Source organism: Homo sapiens, chromosome 2, assembly GCF_000001405.40.
Source record: "Homo sapiens chromosome 2, GRCh38.p14 Primary Assembly".
Lineage (NCBI taxonomy): Eukaryota > Metazoa > Chordata > Mammalia > Primates > Hominidae > Homo > Homo sapiens.
Genome location: NC_000002.12, coordinates 102,291,326 through 102,318,992, shown reverse-complemented (window position 1 = coordinate 102,318,992; position 27,667 = coordinate 102,291,326). Strand labels below are relative to the sequence as shown.

The 27,667-nt window shown below is 38.3% G+C and overlaps 1 protein-coding gene across 3 annotated transcripts in view; it reads right to left on the bottom strand.

Moving 5' to 3' along the window:
* Positions 1–7,430, bottom strand: part of IL1RL1 (interleukin 1 receptor like 1) — a 40,794-nt gene extending 33,364 nt beyond the window's left edge. For all 3 annotated transcript variants that reach the window (NM_016232.5, XM_011512151.2, NM_001282408.2), the window contains exon 1: positions 7,370–7,430. The gene's annotated coding sequence lies outside the window, so the exon portion shown is untranslated. The remainder of the gene's footprint in view (positions 1–7,369) is intronic.
* Between the last annotated feature and the right edge of the window lie 20,237 nt (positions 7,431–27,667).

Genomic DNA, 27,667 nt, shown 5'->3' with positions numbered 1-27,667 from the left:
GTTTGGTTTGTTTGTTTTGCAATAATATTATGGAATTTGAATCCACTTTGGAAACATTGCATTACTTGTTTCTTTAAATTTCAATTTTGTTAATAATTAGTTTAAATTATGATGTCTTTATGCTGTTATCAATATCGTCAATTACCACCATGTTGCTTAGGAATCCTCAGTCCTGCGTCTTCCCCTTACCTTGAGCTATAAGCAGCCTCTGTCAAAGTGGAACAATTTCTCCAACATCTTTCTTCAGGACCCACAGGCTACTGCTTCACATCTCCTCTTCTCTCCACCACCTCAAGTTTCAGTCCTTGAAGCACTTTTCTTCTCTGTCCACACTCACTCCCCACATGATGTCATCCAGTTAACTGGTTTGAAACACCATCTCTATACTGATTACACTCTTGCAGTTACACCTGCCGTCCACACTTTTCCCCTGAACTTCAGGTTCTCATGTCCACCTGCTGACTCAATGCCTTCACTTGTCTATATTCCAGACATCACAAAAATAACCTGTCAAGAATGAATCCCTGTTCTTCTCCCAAAATCTGCTCTTCCAACCATCATTCTCATCTTGGTTGATGGCAACTTCATCTTTTTTCAGCTGCACATATCAAAATCCTTGGAGGTATCCTTATACCTCTCTTTCTCCAGCACATCAATCTCAAGCCACCAATAAGTCCCAGTGAACCTACTTTCCAAATACAGCCAGAACTCAGCCATGTGACCACTTCTCATGGCCATCTTTGCTGATCCAAGCCACCACCATCTCTTGCCTGAATTATTGCACTAGTCTTTGCACTGATCCTTCCCTTGTCCCCTATAATTGATTTTCAAAGCAGAAGCTAGAGTGATCCTTTCAAATTACTCCTCTCTTCAAACCTCTGCTTTACCCAACAAAAGCCAAATTGCTTGCAATGAACAAGAAGACCCCCTGGGGGTCTGTCACCTCTCACCTCTCTGATTTACATCCTGCTACACCCCCAATCTTAACTACACAACACGTGCACTTTTGTCCTTCCTGTTGCTTGGCCTCCCGAGCCTGCTCCCACCTCAGGGTGTTGCAGCAACTGTTTACCCTCTCTTGCATTTTCTTCCTCCAGGTGTCTGTGTGACTCACTCCCTCACTTTCTCAATGAGGTCTGCCACTTTCTTAATGAGGTCTATCCTCTCCCACCCTTTGACCAACTAACCCTGTGCTCCCAATCTTCCTAACTCTGCTTGATTTTTTTCCTCCATGGCATTTATAACTTGCAACACACTGAATGGTCTATGGTTGAGTTTATATGAGGATCAACTTTCTCTCCAAATGTGTGTTTACTGAAATCAAATCTTTTTTTATTTTTATAAGAGATATGAGAAAATTTTTATAAATTAAAAATCTATGAAGTAATTGACATATTGAGTTTGTTCTCACGTGAAAAAAATATCACAAATTGTACTTACTCATCAACTACCACTTTGTAAAGCTATACATGGGAGAAAGTCTAATAAGGAACACAGAACATTAATCAGGTTTGTTGTATTAAAGGAGTGAGTTTATGAATTACATTTTTTATTATTCTTAAACTATCTGTAACAGTGTAATATTGTTAGGGTAATTACAGTGCATTTTAAAAAGTATTTTGCTGAAACTTTTTTTTTTGAGACAGAGTCCGGCTCTGTCACCCAGGCTGGAGTGCGGTGGCGCCATCTGGGCTTACTGCAAGCTCCACCTCCTGGGTTCACGCCATTCTCCTGCCTCAGCCTCCCGAGTAGCTGGGACTACAGGCGCCCACCACCACGCCCAGTTAATTTTTTGTATTTTTACTAGAGATGGGGTTTCACCGTGTTAGCCAGGATGGTCTCGATCTCCTGACCTCATGATCCACCTGCCTCGGCCTCCCAAAGTGCTGGAATTACAGGCGTGAGCCACCATGCTGGGCTGAAACATTTTAATTTTAAAGAAATTGCTCTGATTTTAAAATATTGCCCTTATAAGCAGCTGAGTATACATGAAAACATCATTCAATGGAAAATAACAGAAGACATGTAAATAATACAAGTGCTGAGCGAGTTGTACAATTTCAGAATGCTTTGAATCTATCAAATTTCTAAGTTGATCCATCATTGTACAGGAAGTTTGACACTCAATCAGAGCCAGCCTTGCCAATTACAAGAACTCTTCTTTGGAATTTTGGTTTCTAAGGGTCACACTTTTTGGAATATAATATTTTGTCTCTTAAATAGTCTGTATCTACTACTAATAAATAGTAGCTGGGTATCCATATCATGTAACAGAAGGGAAATGAAATTGTACAATTTTTTTAGGTAATTCTAGGTAATTTTTACATAATTTTAGATAAATCTCCAGGTAATTCTGAAATACTTTTGGTTGAAAATGGGCTGTATTGGATGGTTTGATTGCTTTCTTTTTTATAAAAATTAAACTCCCAGCTATCTTCCAAGCTGCTGCAAGATGAAATGCTCCTTTCTTTATCTACCTTGTTCTCCCCTTCTCTGAAGAAGGAAATTCTACCATAGGGCCCAGGAACTTGAGCAACTGTGTTACTTATTTTAGATCCTTTGTCATTCTAGATTTCCTCAGGTTCACCAAGAGAATATCTATGCCCACCAGATTACATAAAAAGTATGAGATGAGGTTCGGGAAATAAGATAAAGATTTATAAACTGGAATTCAGAATGTGGTTTATGGAAAGATTTAAGGTAAATTAGCATATCTCAGCTCAGGGACAGACAAGTCTTAGCAGGACTCCTCCTATCAAAGAAATCTTATTTCCATTTTCTTCCCATTTTTCTGTGCTCAAGACATGATTAACTAACTGCAGAGACATGCCAAAGACAATCAAATCCTTTTTTATGTGAATATCAGATTTAAGAATGCTTTCGTCATAAGGGTGGAACTAGAAATCAGAGGTGAGTGAATTAGTCCTGGATCTGACCCAGCGACCAGAGGCACAAACCATCACTGGCAGACTGAGATAAGGGGAGGATGAAAGTGGCAGCAAACAGCCTGAAGACAAAGAAAATGGAAAAACCTAAAGGATCCATGTTTACATTAGACCTCTAATTTCCTGAAAATACTCCCTTAATGAAAGCAGGAACCAAACCCACTTTAAGTAATTCATTTGGTTGCTATGATTGAGGAATGTGTTAGTTTCAAAAGTCTTAATGTAGATTATATTTTGAAAAGGTTATTCACTTTGCATAGGGGCTAGTTTTCTAGATAATTCCTCTAAAGGGTGATTTTTCTGGTGTCTTGAGAGTTGGTGTGTACGTTCGTGATCTGGCACAGACTAGTCAGGGTGCACAAAGCAGCTCAGATTTCCAGAAACCACTACTTAAGAAAAAAAGGTGAAATGAAAAGAAAATAATTTTGCACATTACAACCCCAAATCAGACAAGGTTTTGCTCAAGAAGAGAAAAATGATGAGGGAATTCCTCACTAAAGTCTCGGTCTTTACCCATAAGCTCACTGTTCCTAAAGAGTCATGAAATCCAAGAAAACTTGTCCTGAACATGGGCATCAAGAGACTCTGATTTTCTTTATAGTTTGAGATCTCTGCTCAGATGGTAAATCAAAGACATTCAAGTATAGTGTGAGGTTCTTTCAGCCAAGATTGCAGCAAAAGGTACATGATATTTTCTGATCATAATGCCCCAGAGTGAAGAGGAATTAGAGAAATGCTGACTGGTCCTGTGGGTAGACAGGGAGAGTGGGGATTTGGGAGGATGACCTGCAACCCCAGGGGGATCCACATCATCCCACTCCTTTTCCCCACGGCATACACCCTCATCCAGGAAGCCTCAGTTGGGTGGCAGTGGGGCTGAGAGGGCAGAGGCCCCATTACTCAATGACTCGGCCCTCAGACACTCCATCACACTTTGACTGCAAGGCTCCTGAGAGACAGGCATAGGATGTGCGGAATCCTAATTAGGGAAAAAAAAGTCAGACTAGCAGTACCAAGGGAAAGCAAAGACAGAAAGCAGATAAACTGTAAGTTTGCCTTTCTTCATGGCCCAGGACACACAGCTCTTCTGAGCAAATAACTCAGAATCTTCCAGCACCCAACTATCACCAGACACCTGCAAGTTAGCTCACTACAACCTTGGCATTATCAGTACTGCATATAGCCCCCTGGAGCCCAGGAACTATCCTATAAATATCCAGCAAGCCTTTGTTTCTTTGCAGTCAGCTCCTCTCTGGCTGTGCTGCCCATTGCAACCTTGTAATGTATTTTCATACTTTCTCTAATAAATCTGCCTTTCTTTATCTACAACTGTCTTAGTAAATTCTTTTACCCCTGTACCACCAGACCAGATAGTTGTCACTCACCTATGACAGGGAAGCCTTTGTTCCAATCATAGAATGGGCTCAAAATTGGCCACTGATATCCACACTAAAGTCATGTTTAACTAAGTTGTCACAAGACAAAAGTGGTCTTAGATAGGATCTGCAGTTGTTGAAATTCAAGACTACCCACCCAACTGATAAGTTATCAAGTCTTCTTTAAATCTCAGTTACATCTTGGTGGACACTATCTTTATTCTGTGTTTTTTCATTAGGATAGCATCCCTTTCTACCCAGGGCTCAGACACACCCAACTCCAGAGCCAATCCCACAGACTCAGCCCAGCCACACATATGTCCATGTTTAGTCTTGCTGTAGGGGGCCTGGGGCCCTCACAAGCATTGGTTGGAAGTACAAGATTGGAGTCAGCAAGGACTTGGTTTCATCCCTACTTCACAGCACTATCATCATAAGAATGGCAGGATGTGGTGTGTGGAAAGTGCTTGTCTCAGGGTCTGGCACATAGCAGTCTTAGTAAGTGTCGACTGCTGCTGCTGCTGCTATGTTATTCCAAGCGTGCTAAGGACAAATACATCCCAGACAAGTTGAAGCCATCCTACCCTTGGCCCACAAATATTTTAAAGATGTCTCTGTCATCACCCCATTTCTCCATTCTCCTCTGTGTCTGAGCCAAGGCCTCAGCCCCTATTCAGAATCCAGACGCCCTGCCTAACTAGCCCTTTCCTTTCTCTTTCTTGGAACTGGACTCTTGGTTGCTGTTAGATTTTTGTTCTAGAACCAGAGGGATCTTTTCCACCAACCTGTAGTAGGACCCTACTGCACATGCACGCGCATGCAAGTGCACGCACACACACACACTCGTGCACACACACATGCATGCTCCCACAATGTTGGCATCGCCACTGTTGTAAGACTCCTGCATTGTATCCTCCCAACCAGACTGCATTTGCCCTTGGACATGGATGTCAGCCTGGCTCAAAGTCATCACCCAAATCCTTGCGGGGCTCTCCCTTGCAGTTGTCTGCCTCTGCACTCCCAGAAAACCAGGAAGTATGGAGGAGTGGGCAGAGAAATATAAACCCTTGTGATTATAGGACAAATATTTTAAAGGACATAGAGGAAGAATTCTCCTAGAGGAAAAACAGGTATCCGAAAACTGAAGACACCCCAGATACACTTGAGCTATGCGGCCACATCTCCAAACACAGAGGCACCCAAGTAGAAAAGTAACTTGGAATCAATCTCCTCACCTAAACAACGCATTCAAGAACAGAGAGAATCCCAGATCCTGCTGGGGATCCCGTAACATTCAAGTCAGCAGTCACAGCAGCATATCTACAGGGCGCAGAGATAAAAGTTCCCAGAGTGTGGAACAAAAAAAATAAGGACAATGATGAGGTCTGACATCATTAAGTGTTGACTGCTGGCTGAGTAATGCACTAAACACTTACACCCATTTAACCTTCAGAAACCACCCTCTAAACATGATATTATTACTAATATGCTGGTCACCTCTTTGTAAGCAAGAAACTCAAGATTTAAAGACATAGATGAGTTGCTTAAGGTCATGCAACAAGTAAGTGTAAGAGCAGGGATTAAATGCAGATCTGCATTAGTCCAGAGCTTTCTGTCTCCAAACCTCTGCATGGAATAGCCAAAATTAGATGATTATGTCCACAATGGTATTCAGGAACAATGGCATGTGAATAGTTTGGCCTCAGGATCTAGTAGGAGAACTGTTATAGCCAGACAGAAACATGCCTCCGATTTCCTTATGCCTGGAAGAAATTAAAGGAAAAACTGACATTCAGTGGATAAAGCTTTGGGGGCCAGTTCTGCTATGTTTACCTCTGCACCCTCTGTTGAAGTAGCCTTCAGAGAGAAGAAGAATGGAGCCACCAAGCAGAGGATCAAAGCAGGCACCCGCAACAAACTTGAACTTACATCAGTCATTCACTCCCCACCCCTCCAGAAACAATGGCCCTCACTCAAGAGGGCCTTCTCATATCCTCATATCCACCCCTCTCATGTCCGTTCTCTATTTTCTTCTTGCAGATGGGTATGACCCTGCTTCCTCACCCCTTTTGGCCAGCAGCTTCTTGCTTCATTTGTTTTGTTTTTTTCCTTCATCTCCATCTGAGTAGATTACACTGCTGGATTTTGTGGATTTCAGAAAGAATAACTCCAGAATATGAGCACTCTGTGTGTATACTATAAAGCTCCCATCCTTTCTTACCCTCAACCAGGTCTTTTCCAACACGTTGGACCAAAGTCCCATATTACACAAACAAGATTTCAAGGGATTTCATCAATCTGTACCATGATTTTCCCATTGGTAATACTACTTTTCTCACAAGCAAAATTGATAACAATGATTATTATTGTTATAATGTTATATATATTACATTATATATTATATTATAGGCCCTTCATTTGCATAAGGCACCAAAACACAATTAAACTCCTTTAAATTTAATTCAGCTAAAGTTTTTCTTTTAACAGAAGATTGTTTGGAAAGCTAAGTCTTCCCTCTGTCATTGAGTGAATGTTTTCCTCAATATAAATATAATATTATATATATTATATTTAATATATAATAATGTTATAACATTATAACAATAATGTTATATATATTATATATATAATATTTAATATATAATATATATTATATATAATATATATAAATATATTATATATAATATATATTATATATAATATTATATATAATATATATTATATATAATATTATATATAATATATATTATATAATAAAATATATAACATATATGATATATTATATATTATATTATATAATATATATTATATAATTATATTATATATTACAATTATATAATATATATTATATAATTGTATTATATATAATATATAATTGTTATAATGTTATAACAATTATATATTATATATATTATATATTATTATAACATATAATGTTATAATAATATAACAATGAATATTATTGTTATAATGACCTAAATTCGTATGTGAAAATTTTGTTCCCTTTGAGATAAAAGTATTTTTGAAAAATACCCCAAAGCCACTTACCCTCATTGGGTTGTACTTGAGTTCTTTCTTCCTCAACTTTCTGCCCACAGTTTCACAACTCAGAAAGCCAATTTCTCTTACAGCTTTATAGCTTTACTAAATACAACAGCCAGCCTCTCTTTAAAAACCTCCCATTTTCTTTATCAGTTAAGAGACAGGAACCAGGTTACTGATAAGCTGAACCCGATGATCACACTGTTAACAAATGTTAACTGCAGTTTTCACCACATTCTCCCTATTTGAAAGATCTTTAATGAAGTTCTATTTCCAATTTTTACCTTATCTCTATAGATAGTTACATTTTGTCTTAACTATATTTTGCCTTCTTCATGAGTGACTTTCTCAGCAAAACCTCCCTAACACCATGTAGGTGGCAGGTCACTCATTTCCCTTAACGCGAGTTGGTAGTTGTAACTTCCCTATAGTCACATTTCTAGAACAAGAGTACCCATTTCTGCAGCAAGTTGCTTATTTGGTGTTTCTTTCTTTTTTTTTTTTTTTTTTTTTTGAGGCAAAGCCTCACTGTGTCACCCAGGCTGGAGTGCAGTGGCACAATATCAGCTCACTCTGCAGCAAGTTTTGTAACTGATGCCTCGTTGGCAATGTTTTTGAAAACTTTGACACATCTCGTGTGCTTAAGTGTACACCAGGCTCTGTGTGCAGTAATTTGGTATGTGCTATCCCACGCAATCCTCAGAAGCTGACAGGAGCTTCAGAGAGGAGAATTACCTTACCCAAGGTAGCAGCCAGTACAAGGGAAATCCAGGATCCAAAGTGTCTATACCTGGGCTTTTTCCACATGCCCGAGATGGCCTATCTCAGGTGGTTGTAATAGAGATTTATGGACATGTGCTGCAATTATTAGAATTCTGGATAAACTAACCTTAATTATCTATGCAATTTCTAAAAATATTGGTGACTTTCAAATAATCAGGATGTGCCATCTGCCAGAGTCTTCCCTAATATAATAGAGCATGAGATTTAGGGAGAGCACAGCCTAGTTTTCCTCTTCCCAGCTGCTTGACTTTGGGCAAATTCTCTAACCTCTCTCTCGTGTGAAGGGTATTGTTGTCAATATTAAATCAGTAACCTATGGAGGATGCTATCCATATTGATGAAATACTAGTGATTTTCTGCTCTATCATATACCCATCCTATCACACCCAGCACAATTGTGTTTAAAATAAAAACAAACCTTCTGGCAGGGCATGGTAGCTCACGCCTGTAATCCCAACATCCTGGCCAACATGGTGAAACCCCGTCTCTACTAAAATACAAAAATTTGCTGCGTGTGATGGTGCACACCTCTAATCCAAGCTACTCAGGAGGCTGAGGCACGAGAATTGCTTGAACCCGGGAGTCAAAGGTTGCAGTGAGCCAAGACTGCACCACGGTGCTCCAGCCTTGGTGACACAGCGAAACTCTGTCTCAAAAACAAACAAACAAACAAAAAAACCCTTCAAAATGTATTTGAAAAGATGGAATGATTCATAATATGTACCATATCTAGACACCATGTTTATGTCAAGAGACTAACAAAACCTGGGTAGCACCTGACCTTCAATCTTTAACATCACTGACGCTCGTTTTGGTTTGGGTGCAGAGCTAAGATGTCTTCTCTGTGTGAATACAACCTCACCTCCCCCACCCCCACCTCAACACACAGACAAATGAACAGCTGTGTGTACTCTCCTTTTTTTGTGGATTTGTGTCAAGACGCTCGTCCCACCAAGTGAGCTAGATCACCTCTTCTCCTTACCTAGAGTCACCATACATAAAAGATGAAAATCTACATCGAGGAGATAATGGTAGACTCATTTGCGTACTACGCAGTCTTTAGGTGGACTATGACTTCATAAGATCATCAATCATTTATTCTCCACTGCTAGAGAACCACAGAAAATATGCCTAAGTAATACACAAAACAATACTTATCAATGTCCCCAATATTGTGTCAGGCACTGTGAGAGGTGCAAGAGAAGATGAGACTCATTCCTGACCTTGAGGAACTAAACTAAAGATCATGGGAAAAGAGAGGTGGGGACAGGGATGTAGGATTTTACAAATCTGCAAATTTAAGATTTTTTGGTTTTTTTTTTGAGATGGAGTTTCACTCTTGTTGCCCAGGCTGGAGTGCAATGGCACAATCTCAGCTCACCACAACCTCCACCTCCCGGGTTCAAGTGATTCTCCTGCCTCAGCCTCCTTAGTAGCTGGGATTACAGGCACCTGCCACCACATCCAGCTAATTTTGTATTTTTAGTAGAGATGGAGTTTCTCCATTTTGGTCAGGCTGGTCTCGAACTCCTGACCTCAGAAGATCCTCCCTCCTTGGCTCCCCAAAATGCCAGGATTACAGGCATGAGCCACTGCCCCCGGCCTTAAGATTTAAATTATACAGAAATTTACAGCAATCAGAATATTCTTTAAATTATGGTAGGTTATCAAGAGACTATAAAGTAGTCTTTACTCAGGAGTATAACTTTTTGGCCTGGCACAGTGGCTTCTGGCACTTTGGGAGGCCAAAGCAGGAGGATCACTTGAGGCCAGGAGTTTGAGACCAGCCTGGGCAACACAGTGAGATTTTGTCTCTACACAAATATTTTTAAATAGAGTGGAACTTAAAAAAATTTTTTTCTAGCATGGTTGAGCTACAGTTCTATCCTAGTTCTAGATCTCTTAATATCCTTCACATCACATGAGAATCATGGCAGCAGTATTTAGAAACTTGAACCACATCCGCTGTGGAACTTATCCTTCAGTCTCTATCATTGGCATTTATGTACTTGATTGCCATCAAAACGAATAATGCCATTTTCAGTGCTCCCATAAATAGTTTTCAAATCCAGGGAGACTAACATCCATCAAGGTCCTCCTGAGTTAGTAATAAAGAAGGCCACATCTGAATGCAGACATGAGGACCTGAGCAGCCGTGGGCAGCTTAAGGAAGTTTCTCTTGAATGATCCGTCTATGCCAGGGCTCTGCAAAATGTGGAATTCAGACTCCTGCTGCTGTACCCACCTGTCAGGGAGAGACTAGGCAAACTTGTAAGGGGCCAAGTCCTGCTCCGCTGTGAGGATCGCTCCCCAGGGGTGGAGGTCTTTAATGGTGCACCCCAAGTATGGTTTGCTCGCCTGCCATGACCCCTCTTGGAGGTAACTCTCCTTAATGAAAATGCCCTAGAACCTAAGGAGGGCAGAACAACATCTGTGGCAATTCAGCAATCAGTGACCTGAATGGAAAGATCAAAGTTGGCCAAACTTATTTGTCTGAAATAACATACGGTGCTCCTGGAAAAGCAGAAAAGTGGGGTTTGTGCACACACATGTGTGCTCAAGTGCTTGTTTGTGTGTGCACATGTAGGGTTGTGTCCACATGGAGAGGACATCTGAGCTCTGCACCCAAACTAAATGAATTTTCGTAATGTTGAAAATTGCCCTAAATTGGCAAAACCAAGAGATTAGCTGGTCTTCCTTGCACTTTGAAGAAACAAGTTCAGATCCGATACCAATTCCACAGCTTATGATAACCCAGAGTCCCCTCATGACATCTGCTGATTTCTGGGGCTCATTTTCTCCAAGATCCTGTGTCTCAAGCTCCAGGAGTCCCATCTCTGTTCCACTCAGCATCAGCCCAAAACTCAGTCCCCTCTCCAGTTTGCAAAAGAAATCCATTTACACCAAACATTTCTAAAATACGGTGTACCTAGCTAAAGATTCGCACATCACATGGAAGACCTGATGGCCTCCTACCATCCACCAGGTCCTCTTCCTCCTCTCCTCTCCCCTGCTCATCACCCCTCTTCCCTTGCAGAGGTACTTGGGAGCACTTCAATTCTTTCCAGTGCTTGTCGCTGAATGGCCTCAGCCCAAATTCACCAAGGTACTAGGCAGCTAGAAAGCTTTATCTCTTTTAGAAAGAAGGCAGATAGTCCAGGCATGGTGGCTCATGCCTGCAATGCCAGCACTTTGGGAGGCCGAGGTGGGTGGATAACCTGAGGTCAGGAGTTCAAGACCAGCCTGACCAAGATGGTGAAATCCCGTCTTTACTAAAAATACAAAAATGAGCCGGGCGTGGTGGCAGATGCCTGTTATCCCAGCTACTCAGGAGACTGAGGCAGAAGAATCACTTGAACCTGGGAGGCAGAGGTCGCAGTGAGCCAAGATCCTGCCATTGCACTCCAGCCTGGGCGACAACAGCGAAACTGTGGCTAAAAAAAAGAAAGAAGGAAAGAAGAGAGAAAGAAAGAGAGAAAGAAAGAAAGAAAGAAAGAAAGAAAGAAAGAAAGAAAGAAAGAAAGAAAGAAAGAAAGAAAGAGAGAGAGAGAGAGAGAGGGGGAGGGAGGGAGGGAGGGAGGGAGGAAGGAAGGAAGGAAGGAAGGAAGAAAGAGAGAAAGAAAGAAAGAGATGGCAAATTCATTTTTCTCTGTCACATTTACCTTTGCTTCACTTTCATGTCTGCATGAATCCCCTTTCCCTCACTTCTAGAACATTCCCTCTTCTTACTTGGTTGCTTTAACCCATTAAATATGGTGTCTAGTAAAACCTACTCCTTTATTCTCTCGAGGAGTATAGTTTTTTAAAAAGTAGAAAAGTCATAAATATAAATGTCTGAATGGCTTTTATAGGAATTCCAGCATCTATGAAAGAAACAAAACTGAAGGAGAATTCGTTTTAACCAGAAAATTCTAATCAAGCCTAATACATAGCCAGAAACTTTACCTTCTTTTAAGACTAGCCCTGTGTGTCTTTACCGCACCCCTCACTCAGAATGCTTGTTCTCATGAGATTTAACAGGAAGCAAAAACTCAACCTTATTTTATGGTTACACCATATCATGTGCATTCAGATCTTTCATGATTCCATAATGGGTAAAAAACCTTCCTGTGTTCAGAAGTTAAATTGGCTGTTTTTTATTTTACTGAGGCAGTTAGCCTTAATAATTGGCTCCTATTTGTCTGAATATGAACTGTAGGGATCAAAGACTTTGCTGAATTCATTCTCTTTCTTGTCCACTCTTTAAGAAATTAGAAATTAAACAAGGCATGAAAGCTAGTGTGTTTCACTCTTCCCCCTTACTCCTATTCCAAAGTTCAGAAAAAGTCTATGTTTAGTTAAGAGTTAACAGAGGTGCTTGATTTTGAGTTTGTGGAATAGAAGTTATGTTAAAGCCACATGTTCACCCGGAAGAAAAAAAATAATTTTGGTAAAAAATTAGATTTTTATATTCTCTCTCTCTCTCTCTCTCTCACACACACACACAATTGCCCCTTCCTTCCTCATCATTCTTTTGCTTATTAAGCAAAAAAAGTTTACTCAATTTTTTCTATAAAACACATTTAGATCTTTCCACATTTTAACAGGATTCACATGTCCCCCACCAGCCTTGAATAGTTTAAGCAAAAGAATGAGCAACTGGGTAGCTAGAAATTGTGAGTTGTCAACAAATTACCTTTAATAGCTGTGGCAGGCAGCCTCCAAGATGGCCCCCTGATCTCTGCATCCTGGTGTTTATATCCTTGTGTAGTCTTTTCCCTCACTGTACCAGGTCAGGTCTATGTCATCAATATAATATGGAATAAGTGATCACGTGCCATTTCCAAGATTAGGTTATGTAAGGCATCCTGTACTTGTCTGGGACTCTGTCTCTTGAATCACCCCCTCTGAGAGAAGCCATCTCGAGGGCAGCCCCAGAGAGTGCTCCACACAGACAGGTCCTGAAGCCTCCTGCCAACAGCCACATGAGTGACCCTAGCAGCAAGTCCCTCAGTTGCAGTCAAGTCTTCCGAGATGAAAAAGTGTAGTCAACAGCTTGACCACAACTTCATGAGCACCCCCGAGGCAGAATCACCAAGCTAGGTCACTGTCAGATTCCTGACCCTCAGGAACCATGTGAGATAATAAAGGTTTACTGTTTAAGCTGATAAATTTTAGAGTACTTTGTTATGGCACTATAGATCCCTAATAGTTGATAGAAAATGAAGTTATACTATATTCTTTGTGGATCTAACAACAAATACGTAGAAGTCAGGGGTACTTGCTAGTAAGAAATGACTTGATCTCCATGGGTTTTTTTTTTTTTTGGTACTGTATTTCCCTTACATAGTAGTCAAAAATTCAACTGCTACTCCTACTCAGAAGGCCTTTTAGTGTCTGTGATGTCAGGAAGCCATTTCTCTTGTAACTCTGGAGTTTCTGTTATCAGAGGAAACGTCCGATCTTACAGATTGTTCCACAGATATTAAAAGCACCCTTTCCCTAGTCTGATCAGATAAAGTCTCTCCCTTCTACACGCTCATAATATTTATTCAACAGATCTTTGTTCATGGATCAGAAGGAAACACATTTGTTTTGTCAAGAAAGCAACATTTCACCACAATGTCCTCACAATCGAGGGTCTTCACCAAGTTACTACTGGTCAGCAGCAGCACCTAAGAGACCTCAGGGAGACAGATCTCTATGAACCCTGAGGGGACACTCAGCGTCCAGCTGGCAATAGCAGTTGTGATAGCAAAGGCAAGCATTTGTGAGAACAGTGGGTGAAGGACCCCTTGGCTGCAGTCCGTGCTTTGTGCAGACAGTCTTCTCTTTGATCACAAATGTTCCGATGATGCGACGCCTTCCTGCTGTAGTGGCTCTTGTGCCCTGAAATCTCAAACAAGCACTTTGCCTTATGACATGGTAAGAGCATAAAAGGAAAATCTGATCTGTAGGTTATGTTCTCAGTATTTTCCCTGTGTCATGGCTTTCATGCTTTGGTGTCTCAAATACCCTCTCTCCTTCTCCCATTGTAAGAACATGAGAGGAAAGGCTGATCTGTACATTGTGTTCTCATTCTTTCCTCCTGTTGAAACGTTGAAATAAATGTCAACATTTTCCTTCATGGCTGTATTTCTCCTAAAATCTAGAACTCTAGACACTTCTATCTGGGGCTGGTAAAAATTTAAAGATGTCCTTTGTTTTGCTGAAAGTACCCAGTCCTGTCAATATGCATGACAGAATATCTTCTGAGATCAAGTCCAGATATTTTGAAGCATTACAAGAAAATTTAGATTTAGGAGGGAAAGGAGATTAGGAAAGGGGGAGAAAAGGTGATTTCACAGGGACCACAGGCATGCGTTTTCAGGAAGGATTTTAGTCATCCACTTAAAATTGTTTTGCTTCAAAGTTATGTCCAGTTCTCTAGAAATTGATGACACATTTTTTAAAACAACAGCTTATTTCCCAAAGTACTTGTGTAACATGTAGCACATAAGATCTAACAGGCACTGCCCTTCAGTCTGAAGCACACAGCACCAGCGTAGTAGGGCACAAAAGTCACTTAAAAATTATTGATTTATATCAGTAATGCTCAGTTAATAAGTTTTAAAATGTATAGAATACTACAAATGAAAAAATTCTCATAACCTAATACTCAGAGATAATTATAGTCTAACATACCCACATATTTTCTGCTGGCCTTATTTCTTAGAGTGTATGTGGATATAATTGTGCAAGTATATATATATATCTATAGATAGATAGATAGATAGATAGATAGATAGATAGTTAGATATAATGTACAAATATTATATATACACAACAGAAAATGCAAAACTTCCCGAGAGACGCAAAAGAAAACAAGTGAATGAAGAGTCATGTCATGCTTCTAGAGAAGACTCAGTAATAAGATTCATAATGAACTTTTTTGAAGTTGACAAAATAATTCTAAAATTAAAGTGAAGAATAAAGGAAAATGGCAAAGCTAACTTCTCACTAAGTGCCGGTGTGTGCCACACACGGGTTCCACCCACACAATCATCATAATAAACTTATAATATAGGGACTACTATTACCCTTACTTTACAGATAAGAAAACTGAGCCATGCCAAAGTAAATAAATTTGCTGGGTCACATTGCCAGTCAGCTAAGAAGCTGGGATTTGAACCCAGGCACAATGAAAGTGAAGCCTGCACTATTATCCAAAATCTGCATTGCTTGTCAATTTTCCAGAAATACTGAAGATCAGTCAGGAAAATACGAAAAATAGTAAAAGATTAGGAGAACAGATGATTTCTCCTTGAGCCTACTGTTGTCCTACAGATATTCTCTTCTGAGCTTACTATTGTCCAATAAAGTTTCAGTAATTAAAATAAAATAGAACAGCCACAGGAGGAGACAGACAACTTATAAGAACAGGATAAAAAATGTAGAAACCAATGGAGCATTAACAGGAATATATCACAAGATTATCAACATGATGAAAAAGTCAGTATATCAAACCTGAAAGAAAGAATAGGCTTTAAATAAATGGTGTTATGACCATTTAATATTTAATTTAAGCATTACAAATGGTTTAATATTATCATTATAAAATATAAACATATACAAGTAAAGTTTAATCAGTAAGAAAATTAAATTCCAAATGTATTAGAGATTTAAAAGGAAAAAGAAAAAAGTTAAATCTGTAAGCAGATAGAATTAAGTATTTCTTTGGTAATGAGGTAGGAATAATATTGGCCTTCTAAACTCAATGATAGAGACAGAAATCATAATGTCAAAGACCAAATAAATCTAATCACATCTGAAAATACCATAAATAGAGGGCAAGCAAAAAACTGATGAAAATGTTACAAACACACACATACGCATACACATGCATGCACATGCACTCACACACTCAACACAAATATTTTATAAATTAATAACAGAAAAGACAACAATCTAAACTTTAAAATATGCAAAAGATATAAACTAAATTCAAAAAGGAAGGACAGAGATTTTCAATAAACTAATTAAAATATTATACATCAAAAGAAATAAAAATGCTAATTAAAACCAATAAATGTGCCATTTTTACTTATGAAGCTTGGAGGTTTAAAAAAATTATAATAATAATACCCAGATATTTGGAGAGATAATAAGTATATAAATCGGTGCAACCTTTTTAGACGATAATTTGGAAATCTGCATCAAAATACCCCTTAACTCAGCAATTTCTCTTCTACTAATACAGTTGAGATAATCATGGATATTCAAAAATATTTATCTGCTCATTCACAACATTGTAACAATAGCAGGAAAAAACGAAATATAAAAAATAAAGTATTAATTAATATATGGTATTTTTAAATAATAAAATACTTTGTAGTCATCCAAAATGATGTAGACTAATAATATTTAAATAAATAGAAAATGTTTGTGATATACTTTGTTTAGAGGCAAGTTTTGTGATTTCTACTTCCAGCCAAGATAGAGTAATAGGAATAAGATTTACCCTCCTGACTTAAATAACTAAACACTGAACAAAACGTATGAATCAACAGCTTTCAAGATATAAGCATCAGGCAGTGGACGACGGTGAACCTTGAGAGATGGGAAGCAAAAAAAGAGGCTGGCAATTGCCCTGGTTACTGCCTGGAGAGTTTCTGAACTCTGGCAAAGAGAAGAGGAAGAGAGATGAAGTCCAGTGGTCTCTCCGAGATGAGGAATCAGAGCTGGGAGTCTGGAAAGGCTAAGGTGACTTGAGTTCACAGAGTACTGAGGAGATCACTACAGAGATATCTGCAGCGCCCTCTTCAGTTACTCAGCTCAGTACTGACGAGTTCATGCTTCTGAGGAAGTGATCTGTGGTCAAAGAAAGAACCACCCAAAACGATCAGAGGGAACAATTACCACAACTCTTACAGGGTCAGAAATAGTACCTGTGCCCACTATTCAAAATGGAAAATGACATAACTCATGAGTTTTGTCTCAATAGTAGTATAAATTAACCACAGGCTAAATGTCACTCTGGTTACACATAAAAAAAACTTAAAAGGAAGACCCAAAAATGTCAAACTTGTTTCAGGGCAACATAACAGTAATTCAGAGCACAGCTCAAATATTTATAGAAATAGAAAAATATTCAGCACTCAATATGTTAAAATTAACATTGTCTGGCATACAATAAAAAATTTTCAAGCATAAAAAGGAGCAGAAAATACTACCCTTAATAAAGAGAAGAATCAATCAATCAAAACTAGCAAAGAATTAACATAGATAAATAGAATAAGTAGAAAAGGACATGAAAACAGCTATTATATCCAAATTCCATATGTGAAAAAAAAACCTATATGAAATATTGTGTTAAGCAGAGATATGGCAGATTTTAAAAAGACCTAAATAAAACATCTACAGATAAAAGCTACATTTCAGATGAAAAATATATTGTATGGAATAGAAACTACGCAAAATAAAATACAGAAAGAAAACAGATCTGAAAAAAATACAGCATCTGTGAATTGTGGGGAAATTTCGAGTCATCTAATGTAAGTATAATTGAAGTTCCAGGAGGAAAGGAGTGAACAAAAGGACAGAAAAAAAGTTATGTGAAGAAATAACGCCAAAATATTGCAAATTTGATGAAAAGTATAAAACCCTGAAGTACCCAGAAACTCAAACACTAAAAATAGTGATAAAGAAAAACTCTTAAAAGTGAGAAAAGAAAAAACCATGTTACTATAGAGGAACTAGGGAGAGGGTGACATCAGATTTCTCATCAGAAACAATGCAAGCAGAATAAAATCTTTAAATGACTGAAAGAAAAAGTCACCTTAGAATTTTTTACTTAATAAAAATATTGTTCAAAAGTGAAGACGAAATAAAAACTTTTTCAGGCATACAACAGCTGAAGCAATTTGTCAGTAACAGACAAGTACTACAAGACATGTGAAAGGAACGTCCTCCAAGTAGAAAGAACTGATACCAGACAGAGATCTGATCCACAGGAAGGGATGCAGAGCACCAGAAATGGCATCTATGGGGTAAATAAAAAGACTTTTATTTCTTATTGTTTAAATTATTTAAAAGATAATTGATTGTTCGAAGCAAAAGTAATGACAATATAATGTGGGTTTTATAATAGGGGTGTAGAAGCAACATGTATGACAGCAACAGCACAAAGACCAGAGAAGAGAAATGGAAGTTCACTGTTGTAAAGCTCTTAAATTATCAGTGAATTGGTACAATATCACTTGAAGGTGGACTGTGTTATTTAAAGATGTATACTAACTCCAGATAACCCTAGAGAAACCACTACAATATCACAACAAAGAGCTATAGAGAACGATCTTACAATGGAGAAAATTTGGAATTATAAAAAAAAACAAGTAATCCAAAATAAGACACAAAAAGGATAAATGAGGAACAAAGAACAGATGGGACAAATAGAAAACAAATAGCAAGAGAAGAATTTTAAGCCCAAACTATCAATCACATTAACATAAATGATCTCCAAACACCCCAACTAAAAGCTAGAGATTCTCAGATTGGATTTAAAAAGGAAAACCCAACAACATTTTGCCAACAAGAATCCAACTTTAAATACAAAGACACAACAAGTTTCAAAGCAAAAGAAAGAAAAAAGATATTCCATATTAATGCCAATCAAAACGTGGCTGGAGTGGCTATAATAAGATTAGACAAAAAATATGCATATTATATATTGCTCTAAAATTATACATAACCAGGAATAAAGAGAGTTATTCTATATATTATATATAACCAGGAATAAAGGGAGTTATTCCATATATTATGTATAACCAGGAATAAAGAGAGTTATTCCATATATTATATATAACCAGGAATAAAGGGAGTTATTCCATAATGATAAAGGGGTCAATTTATCTGAAGAATATAACAATACTGTTTATGCTTCTAATAATTGAGCTTCAAAATACATGAGGAAAAAACTGATAAAAATGAAAGGAGAAATAGACAAATCTTGAGTTACAGTCAGAGATGTCAATATTCTTCTTTCAGTAATTGATAGAAGAAACAGAAAAATCTGTAAAGATATAGAAAATTTGAAAACCATTGTTAAGCAAGTAGACCTAATTGTTATTTATAGAACTCTCCACCTGACAGCACTGGAATAAGCACTCTTCTTAAGCATACAAGGATCATTTACCATGAGAGAGCATATTCCAGTCCCAAAACCAAGTCTCAATAAGTTAAATGGATCAAGGCATACAAAGTGTGTTATTTGACAACAGTGGAATTAAATCACAAAATCAATAAAAGAAATATATAGAAACTTTGTAAATGTGCAAAAACTAAATAATACACTTTTAAATAACCCATGGTGCAAACAAAAAATCAAAAGGGCAGTTAGAAAGTATTGTGAACTAAATGGAAACAAAAACACTACATATCAAAATTTGGGATATGCCACTAAAGAGGGAAATTTACAACACTAAAGGCATACATTAGAAAATAATAAAAGTCATAAATCAATATTGGTTACCACCTTAAAAAACTAGAAAAAGAAGAGCAAAGAAAGCACAGAAAACAGAAGAAAATGAAATAATACAAATCAATGCAGAAAACAGTGAGATGGAACAGAAAAACAATAAAGAAAAATCAATGATGCCAAAAGCTGGTTTGTTGAGAAGACTAATAAAGTTGATAACTCTCTAGTCACACTGACTGAGGAAAAAAGAAAGAAGACACAAATTACTAATATCAAGAAAAAGAGAGTTGACACCACTAAGTTTCTATAGATGTTAAGAAGATAATAGGGGAATATGATAAACAATCAACAAGAATGACATATTGATAAATGCAATAGTATGAATGTACTGATAAATGCAATCATATGGATGACTTTCACAATAATTACGCAGAATAGAAGAAGCCAGAGAGAAACAAGCACATGCTGTATTATTCCATTTATATCAATTTCTAGAAAATGTGAACAAACTTATAGTAACAGAAATCAGGTCAGTGGATGCCTGTGGATTCGGTAGGAGAAGTTGAAGGATGGACTTCGAAAGGGGTGTAGAAGCTTTACGGGGGATGGGTATGTTCATTATCTTGATTGTGGTAAGGGTTTCACTGGTGTGTATACATATGACAAAACTTAGACTGTACAATTTAAGTGTATGCAATTTTTCATATCTCAATTATACCTTAATAAAGCCGTAAAAACAGGAAATTTTAAATGTAATATACATTATGACTCAATGTATAATAATCAACACATACCTGCAAATACATGTGTAAACACATGCACACATACACATATGCAACATCCCATACATGTGTGCACACAGACATAGGAAAACGTGCCTAGGAAACAAGGACTCCAAAATCTCAGCAATGGTTAGCTGCATGCGTAGAAATGCAGATTATTTTTTTTCTTTCTTTTTATTTCTCTGGATTTGCTATTTCCTGCAATGAAATATATTATTTTTGAACATGTATCACAACAAATATGTTTCTGACTTTAATTTCTCAACATTTTTCTTATTGCATTTGTATTTCTATATTAGGTCTACATGACAGTGATGATTAAACACTCCAGTCCCTAGTCTGGGAAAATAGACCTCTAATACTGCAAAGGCAGAACTTAGAACATACAAAAATCTAGAAGTTTGTTCTGTTCAAAAGTCAAGGATAGCATAAGACTTAAAAGGTGATGCAAGACCAAATGCCCTAAACCAAAAGATAAGCTTCAGATATATCTGTCTACGACAGTGTTCCCTCATTCCTATATTCACACACACACACCCACCCACACACACACATTTTTAAGATATTCCCAATGACGGGTCACGGGCAAGGTTCTGAAGGGCTCTGAGATTTTTAAATGCACAGAAAGACATGTTCCAGATAAACATAAGGGGTTACTCAATCTTTCTTCTAATTCCAAGAAAAAAATGACATCTAGCCTAATTCAGACAATTAATTCCCTTCAAAATGTTGAAGGTGCAATAAAAGGAAATTATGACACAATGTATGCCTCAGTAAAGGCATGTGAGGCCAATTGTCTCTCACTGTGAGAAATTTTTCCTCTGTAATGCAACCTTCTGTAATTATCTGTAACCATTTTCTGAATGTTCTTCAGTTTCCTGGTATAATTTAAACCTAATTACCTATTATCAACCATCCATATTTCAGATTGTCCAAGCTCATTTGTGCCAAGCCCAAGGATGAACCTGGATCCTAATTATCCATTTAGTGCTAAGATGATTCCTATGACAACATGTAAACAGCACATTTGTTTCTCATATACTTTTACTTATTTACTTGAGAAACATTTACTATGCATGTTCTGTTTCCAAGTCATATGTTAAGTAAGTTGTATGTTCATAGAAACAGACACTTAACCTAGTACCCATGATAAAATGCACAAAAAAAGAATATATATATATAGCTCTCATTACATAATATTTTTAAAATTTATATGTCAATAAAACCTTAGGAATAGTAATATTCCCTCAAAATCTGAAACTTTCTGGAACAAAAGATATAACTATTCCTTACCTATAGTCTAAACAAATGACTATATCCTTAAACAAATTAAAAGGCATATGGAAACTAAACAAAAAAACCTCACTATATGCCTGTCTTTAATATTCTTAATGTATCAGGAGACTTTACTAGTTAATACAAAAATGTTTTTGTTTGTTTGTTTGTTTTTGTTTTTTGAGATGGAGTTTCCCTCTTGTTGCCCAGGCTAGTGCAGTGGCGCGATCTTGGCTCACTGCAACCTCCACCTCTTGGTTTCAAGCTATTCTCCTGCCTCAGCCTCCGGAGTAACTGGGATTACAGGCGCACGCCACCAAGCCCAGCTAATTTTTGTATTTTTAGTAGAGATGGGGTTTCACCATGTTGGTCAGGCTGGTCTCAAACTCCTGACCTCAGATGATCCACCTTCCTCGGCCTCCCAAAGTGCTGGGATTACAGGTGTGAGCCACCGCACCCAGACAAAGAGGTTTTTAAAAATCTACAATTTACAAAAAATGCAAATGACCAATAAATACAATGTTCAGTACCCTCATAATAAAAATGTATTTGAGGAAATGACTGTATTTCTTATGTGCCAAGTTGGTAAGAATCAGAAAAGACTTTTAATGTTCAGCTTCTGAGTAAAGGAGTTACTCACTGTTCCAGGACCTGCAGTTGGTTGGAGGGTTGAATCTGGGAGAAATTTGTTTTCTTCCCCAAGGCCCCTCAGCCTAGTGACATCAGCCAGGAGGACCTAAGCCTCTCAGCCCAGCTCTGCTTACACTTGAGGCTCAGGGGCCAACTGTGAAAATAAAACAGGAGATCTTGAACACTTTCCAAAAGCCTGCCAGAAAGACAATATGGCATCTTTAGAAACTTGATGAAAATGTCATCAGATAAACATCTTGGTAAATGGATTGTATCAGCTAGTGTTTGCCCAAAATTCTAAGTAAAAGTCAACAATTGAGAGAATTGGGCTGTAGAAAGCCTGAATAAAAGATAATTTAAAGAATATCTACAACCAATTCTTTCACTTTACCAAAGGTGACATTGAGGTGATGTGAAGGGGTATGTCCAAAACCACACAACTAGTTGGTGACAAATTCTGGGAATACACAATGACCTGCTCAGCCAGAGGTCTTTACTCAAAGTAGTTGACTTGTCTTTCTGATCTTTCCTTTTCCCCTAGAACTGCTCTCCCACCCAAGAGACTTCTAACTGTCTAATCTTGAGGAAAATCCCCTAAACTCTATATAAGTCATATATGCCTTATCTCTTAAAAAAAAAAGCGGGGGGATGGGTAATATTATCAAACTGTTAGGTGGTATAAATAACATAATAAGTAAGAAGAGTTAGTATGACATCCAGCAATAGTAGATCTTTAATAACTGTTTTTTCTTTCCAACCCTAAAGACTTATCCCTCTACTAATTGTAGACTAACCATTTTGGAGCATAGATTATATAATACTAGTAAAGTTAGTAATTAAATACATGCACTCCCTCCATGGGAGGAATAAGAAAAATTGAGAGAGTTGAAGAATGGGTAGTTAATGGTGGAAATTTGGAGAAGTTATTTTAAGGAAGGAAATCACTTCTTGGTATTCTCTCTAATCATAACACACAGATAGCTCACTTTGCCTAAATATAGGATAATTTCCGCTTCTGCAAACTAAGCTTTTATCCTACTGCTAAAACTATAGCAGAATAAAATTTTAAACTAAGTATTTCTTTAGAGAGAAGTATTTTATTACCTATAAGAGAAATGTCATGTTTCTTGGCTAACCTCTCCATTAAAAGCATCTAGTATCTATAGCACAGATTTGGCAGAAACAGTACATATTCTCTTCTAGGTGAACTGCAAGGTGGCTTCAGCGGTGAGACAGATGAGGACCACACAGGGCAGAGCAGCAAGGTAGGAGGAATTGGGGATTCTGAGTGACTTCATGAAGCAGATCCATCTACCATCCCTAGAGCACCTGGCTACCCATGTGTTGTTACATGAGGGACAGATAAACCTATGTTTTGTTTGAGCTACTCTGTTTTTGTTCTCAACTCTGACTAATGCATGAAGCATCACATATACACAGTTACTAAGGGATGTTGATCAAGAGTAACAAGTACAGTTAGCTAAGGGAATGTTTACAATCTCCTCCACAGTTACACATGCAAGAGTAAAGTAAAGGAGATGATTCTAACAGGAAATTAAAACTATTTTTGATTCTCTCATTTTCTCTTCAGTCTACTCCTTTTCCAAGTAGCTTTTGGGCACTTGTTATTTAACAGAATCTCTGTGAGGTTTCATTACAGATCATCTCACTTCTTAACCATAAAACCGTGAATGATTTTTTGGCTCGTAACACCCCTAGACCACTCTGCAAAGGAGGCTACTTTCCTAATTTGTTTGTCTGAGTACAAGCATCTTGATCCTAAGATCCAGGTAGAATCCAGTAGATATGTGACTCTGTATGACAGTACTAAGTATCTGTATGTGGCAATTGGGGCTTCTCTAACTCAGGAGATGATGTAGACTTCAAACAGCTTTGTTAAAGTCTGAACACGTGTGCTGTAATGAGAATTGCATGCTATTTGTTTTGTAGATTGTATACAAGTAATTTGTCAGTAGAATGACCTTTAATTTGTGACCAAGTATCAAGGCAAATTATGAGGTTTATCCATAAGCAACTGGGTCACTTTTTAATACCCATTAAGAATTTCGAAGTACTTAGAATGCAAGACTCATTTTGAATTCAGTGGTATTTAGACCTGGGTAGAAAGGTATGTACACATCTATGTAATAAGAATCAAGACCATGGTATAATTTAAGGAATCTATATATTTGCAATTATGTATTTGTGATGCCTAAAATATTGACCCATTAGAATAAGTCATGTAACTCTTTTTTAAAAAGGTATAATTGGAAATTGTTTAGATTTACGATTTTAAGTGAAATCCTTACTAAGTTTATATCCAATATTTAAGCTTATATGTAGCGTCAAAATTTCTAAGAGAACTTAAATTTATAAGAATTAATTCATTACTTGGGAAGGTTTTAGCCAAAGTTCTTAAGAAGAAAAATCAAATACAGTAAATGTATAAATGCGGTTTAAAATACCTTAAAATATTTAGTTTGCCAAATTTGTAAGTGGAGTAACCTAGTGTTGAAGTTTGTTAAAATGTGCTAGACATATAAATGGTATTATATGATTTTTAAGCTGGTCTTCAATTTATAATAAACTAGATTTTTTACATTTTTAACTTTGAAAAATTGAATAGTAATTTTAAAATCAAAATAAATTCACGAAGAGTCTTTTCTGCCCATAAAACTGCCCTCAAAAATCACTTAAAAAAAAACAAGGCTGGGCACGGTGGCTCAGGCTTGTAATCCCAGCACTTCAGGAGGCTGAGGTGGGCGGATCATGAGTTTAGGAGTTCGAGACCAGCCTGATCAACATGGTGAAACCCTGTCTCTACTAAAAATACAAAAATTAGCCTGGCGTGGCGGCACGTGCCTGTAATCCCAGCTACTCAGGAGGCTGAGGCAGGAGAATCACTTGAATCAGGGAGGCAGAGGTTGCAGTGAGCTGAGATCACGCCATTGCACTCCAGCCTGGGCGACAGAGCAAGACTCCGTCGCCCAAACTCATCAGACAGAGCTATAAAGGACACATACAAGGTTTCGTTATCTGCCCCAGCTTCCCATGACTAAGAATACACAGATCAACCTAATTTATCAATATTTACCTGGGGCTGTTCTGTTGTGCTCTGTTGTGTCCTGACAGCTCGGCAATGCCCCTTTGTTTCATCAAAGTTATTGCTACTGGTTTCACTGTTGATTTGGGGAAAGTTTACATGTCACTGTATTTCTAAGTAGATGCTGTTTACTTTCAGGCTGCAGGACTCTGCTTTGATAATGCATTCTCCAAGGGTCATTACATGGAGGGGTTGAGAAGTTCTTTCCACAGCAAGTACCTCTTTCTGATGGTATCACAACTACAAATGTGCAGCACACATTACACTTTCCGTGTAACTACTTCCCCTAAGAAAGAATTAAGTTGTTCAGAGTCATTGTGCTGAGAAATGTTGTACCTGCCACCTGGGGATTACACTATTTCACTTCAACTCTGTTTCCTGAAGGAGACCCCTCTGCTGTCCAGGCTCCCTTCCTTTCTCTTTGCCTCTTCCCTCTTTCTCTGTGCATCATTTTCCTCTCTCTCCTCCTGACTTGTCTTTATTCTCCCTCCTCCCCACCCTCCACCTGCCAACTGCACTGCTTGGCTTCACTTTTTCAAGTTCAAGTCTCACTCTCTTTTTCTCCACGATGAAAACTGCAGTTACTGCGCCCAGTCATGCTCTTTTTCCCTAATGAAAACAAAAATGCTCTTTCTCATTATGAAACCAGATGTCTGCTACAGATTTAGCTAAATATTTACAAACATTGAGAATAGGATCTCCTGTGGAGGCCAAAATACCTGACAGGCTAGACTAGACGATGCTGACAGAGGATGGGTCTGAAGAAGGCTTTATGCAGTGAGCTGTGAAGTCAGAGGCAGCTATGAAAAGGTTCAGGGCTGAAAGATTCAGGGCTGAAAACCCAACCAAAACTTGGGTTTTGGTCCTAGCTCTACTACTTACTGGAGCAAACCAGGCTTTCAGAACTTGAATATGCAAAATAAAGATAATGATGGTACTTCCAGGATTGCTGAAAGGATTTAGTAAGATACTGTAGGGAAAGCGCTTTATAAAATTATAGTCATACAGTCATAAGGCATGGCTCTTTAAACATATGGAGGCTCTTTAAGAAGAGTTCTAAATCAGCAAACGATTTTTTTTTTTGAGACAGAGTCTTGCTCTGTCCCCCAGGCTGGATTGCAGTGGCCTGATCTCGGCTCACTGCAGGCTCCGCCTCCCGGGTTCACTTACACCATTCTCCTGCCTCAGCCTCCCGAGTAGCTGGGACTACAGGCACCTGCCAGCACGCTGGCTAATTTTTTGTATTTTTAGTAGAGACGGGATTTCACCGTGTTAGCCAGGATGGTCTCGATCTCCTGACCTTGTGATCCACCCGCCTTGGCCTCCCAAAGCGCTGGAATTACAGGCGTGAGCCACCGCGCCCGGCACGATGTTGTTGTTTTTACTAATGCACATAGCAGAGAAGCTTTTACCAATATAAATTCTTTATGTTCAAGAGGACATTTAGTCATTCATCAATTGTAGAACAAATGCTATTTTTTACCTGCCTCTTTTTATCCCTCCACCATGTGATGTGATTTGAGAGGACCTAGGAAGACACACCACCACCACCACCACCACCACCATCACCACCACCACCACCACCATCACCACTAAAATGCATTCCTTTAAGCTAAAGGTGTGTCCCTGCTGGAACTTAACTAGACAGGAGAAGCTGAAAGGAATCTTTTCCTATTAGTTATTCACAGTCTACTATGAATTATAATGCAATACACATTTCTTTCCCCGCATGACCTCTAGGTGAGAGAGGTGTTAGCTGAATGAGCTCCTAGAACAGTATTTCTCCATGTATGACTCCCAGACCAAATTAATCAGAGTTGCCTGGGGCTTTCGATAAAAAATGGATTCCTAGCAAACTTCTACTTCACAACTCTGCTTCAAGCCTGTCCCATACTTTTATTTCCAGCGTGAAGACAGTTCTGTCAGGGACAAAAGGAAATGATGACACTAGGAGGTTGCACACTTTCAAACCACAATATTATTCTAAAGAAAGCTGAGGCTAAACCAACTACCTCTTTTCAAAAATCCTCAGCCTTCTACCCAGCTGACTAATTGGGAAGCAGGGTCTTCTTCCCCTCAGGTGTGGTACTTAAACAGGGTTTGGAGTCCCTGGGTTCTGTAGTCCCAACAGCTTCCTATGTCTCACACGTGTCAGCTTGCACAGTGACTTGGAACCTGGACCTTCTGGGCAGTTGTCTGTGAGCAGAGCTAAACCAAAAGGGAACACCAGTCCTTCCTTGGCCCTGGGCCAAAGTTTCCCTGGGCCCTCAACAGGCCCTCAGGAGCTGTTCTGCATG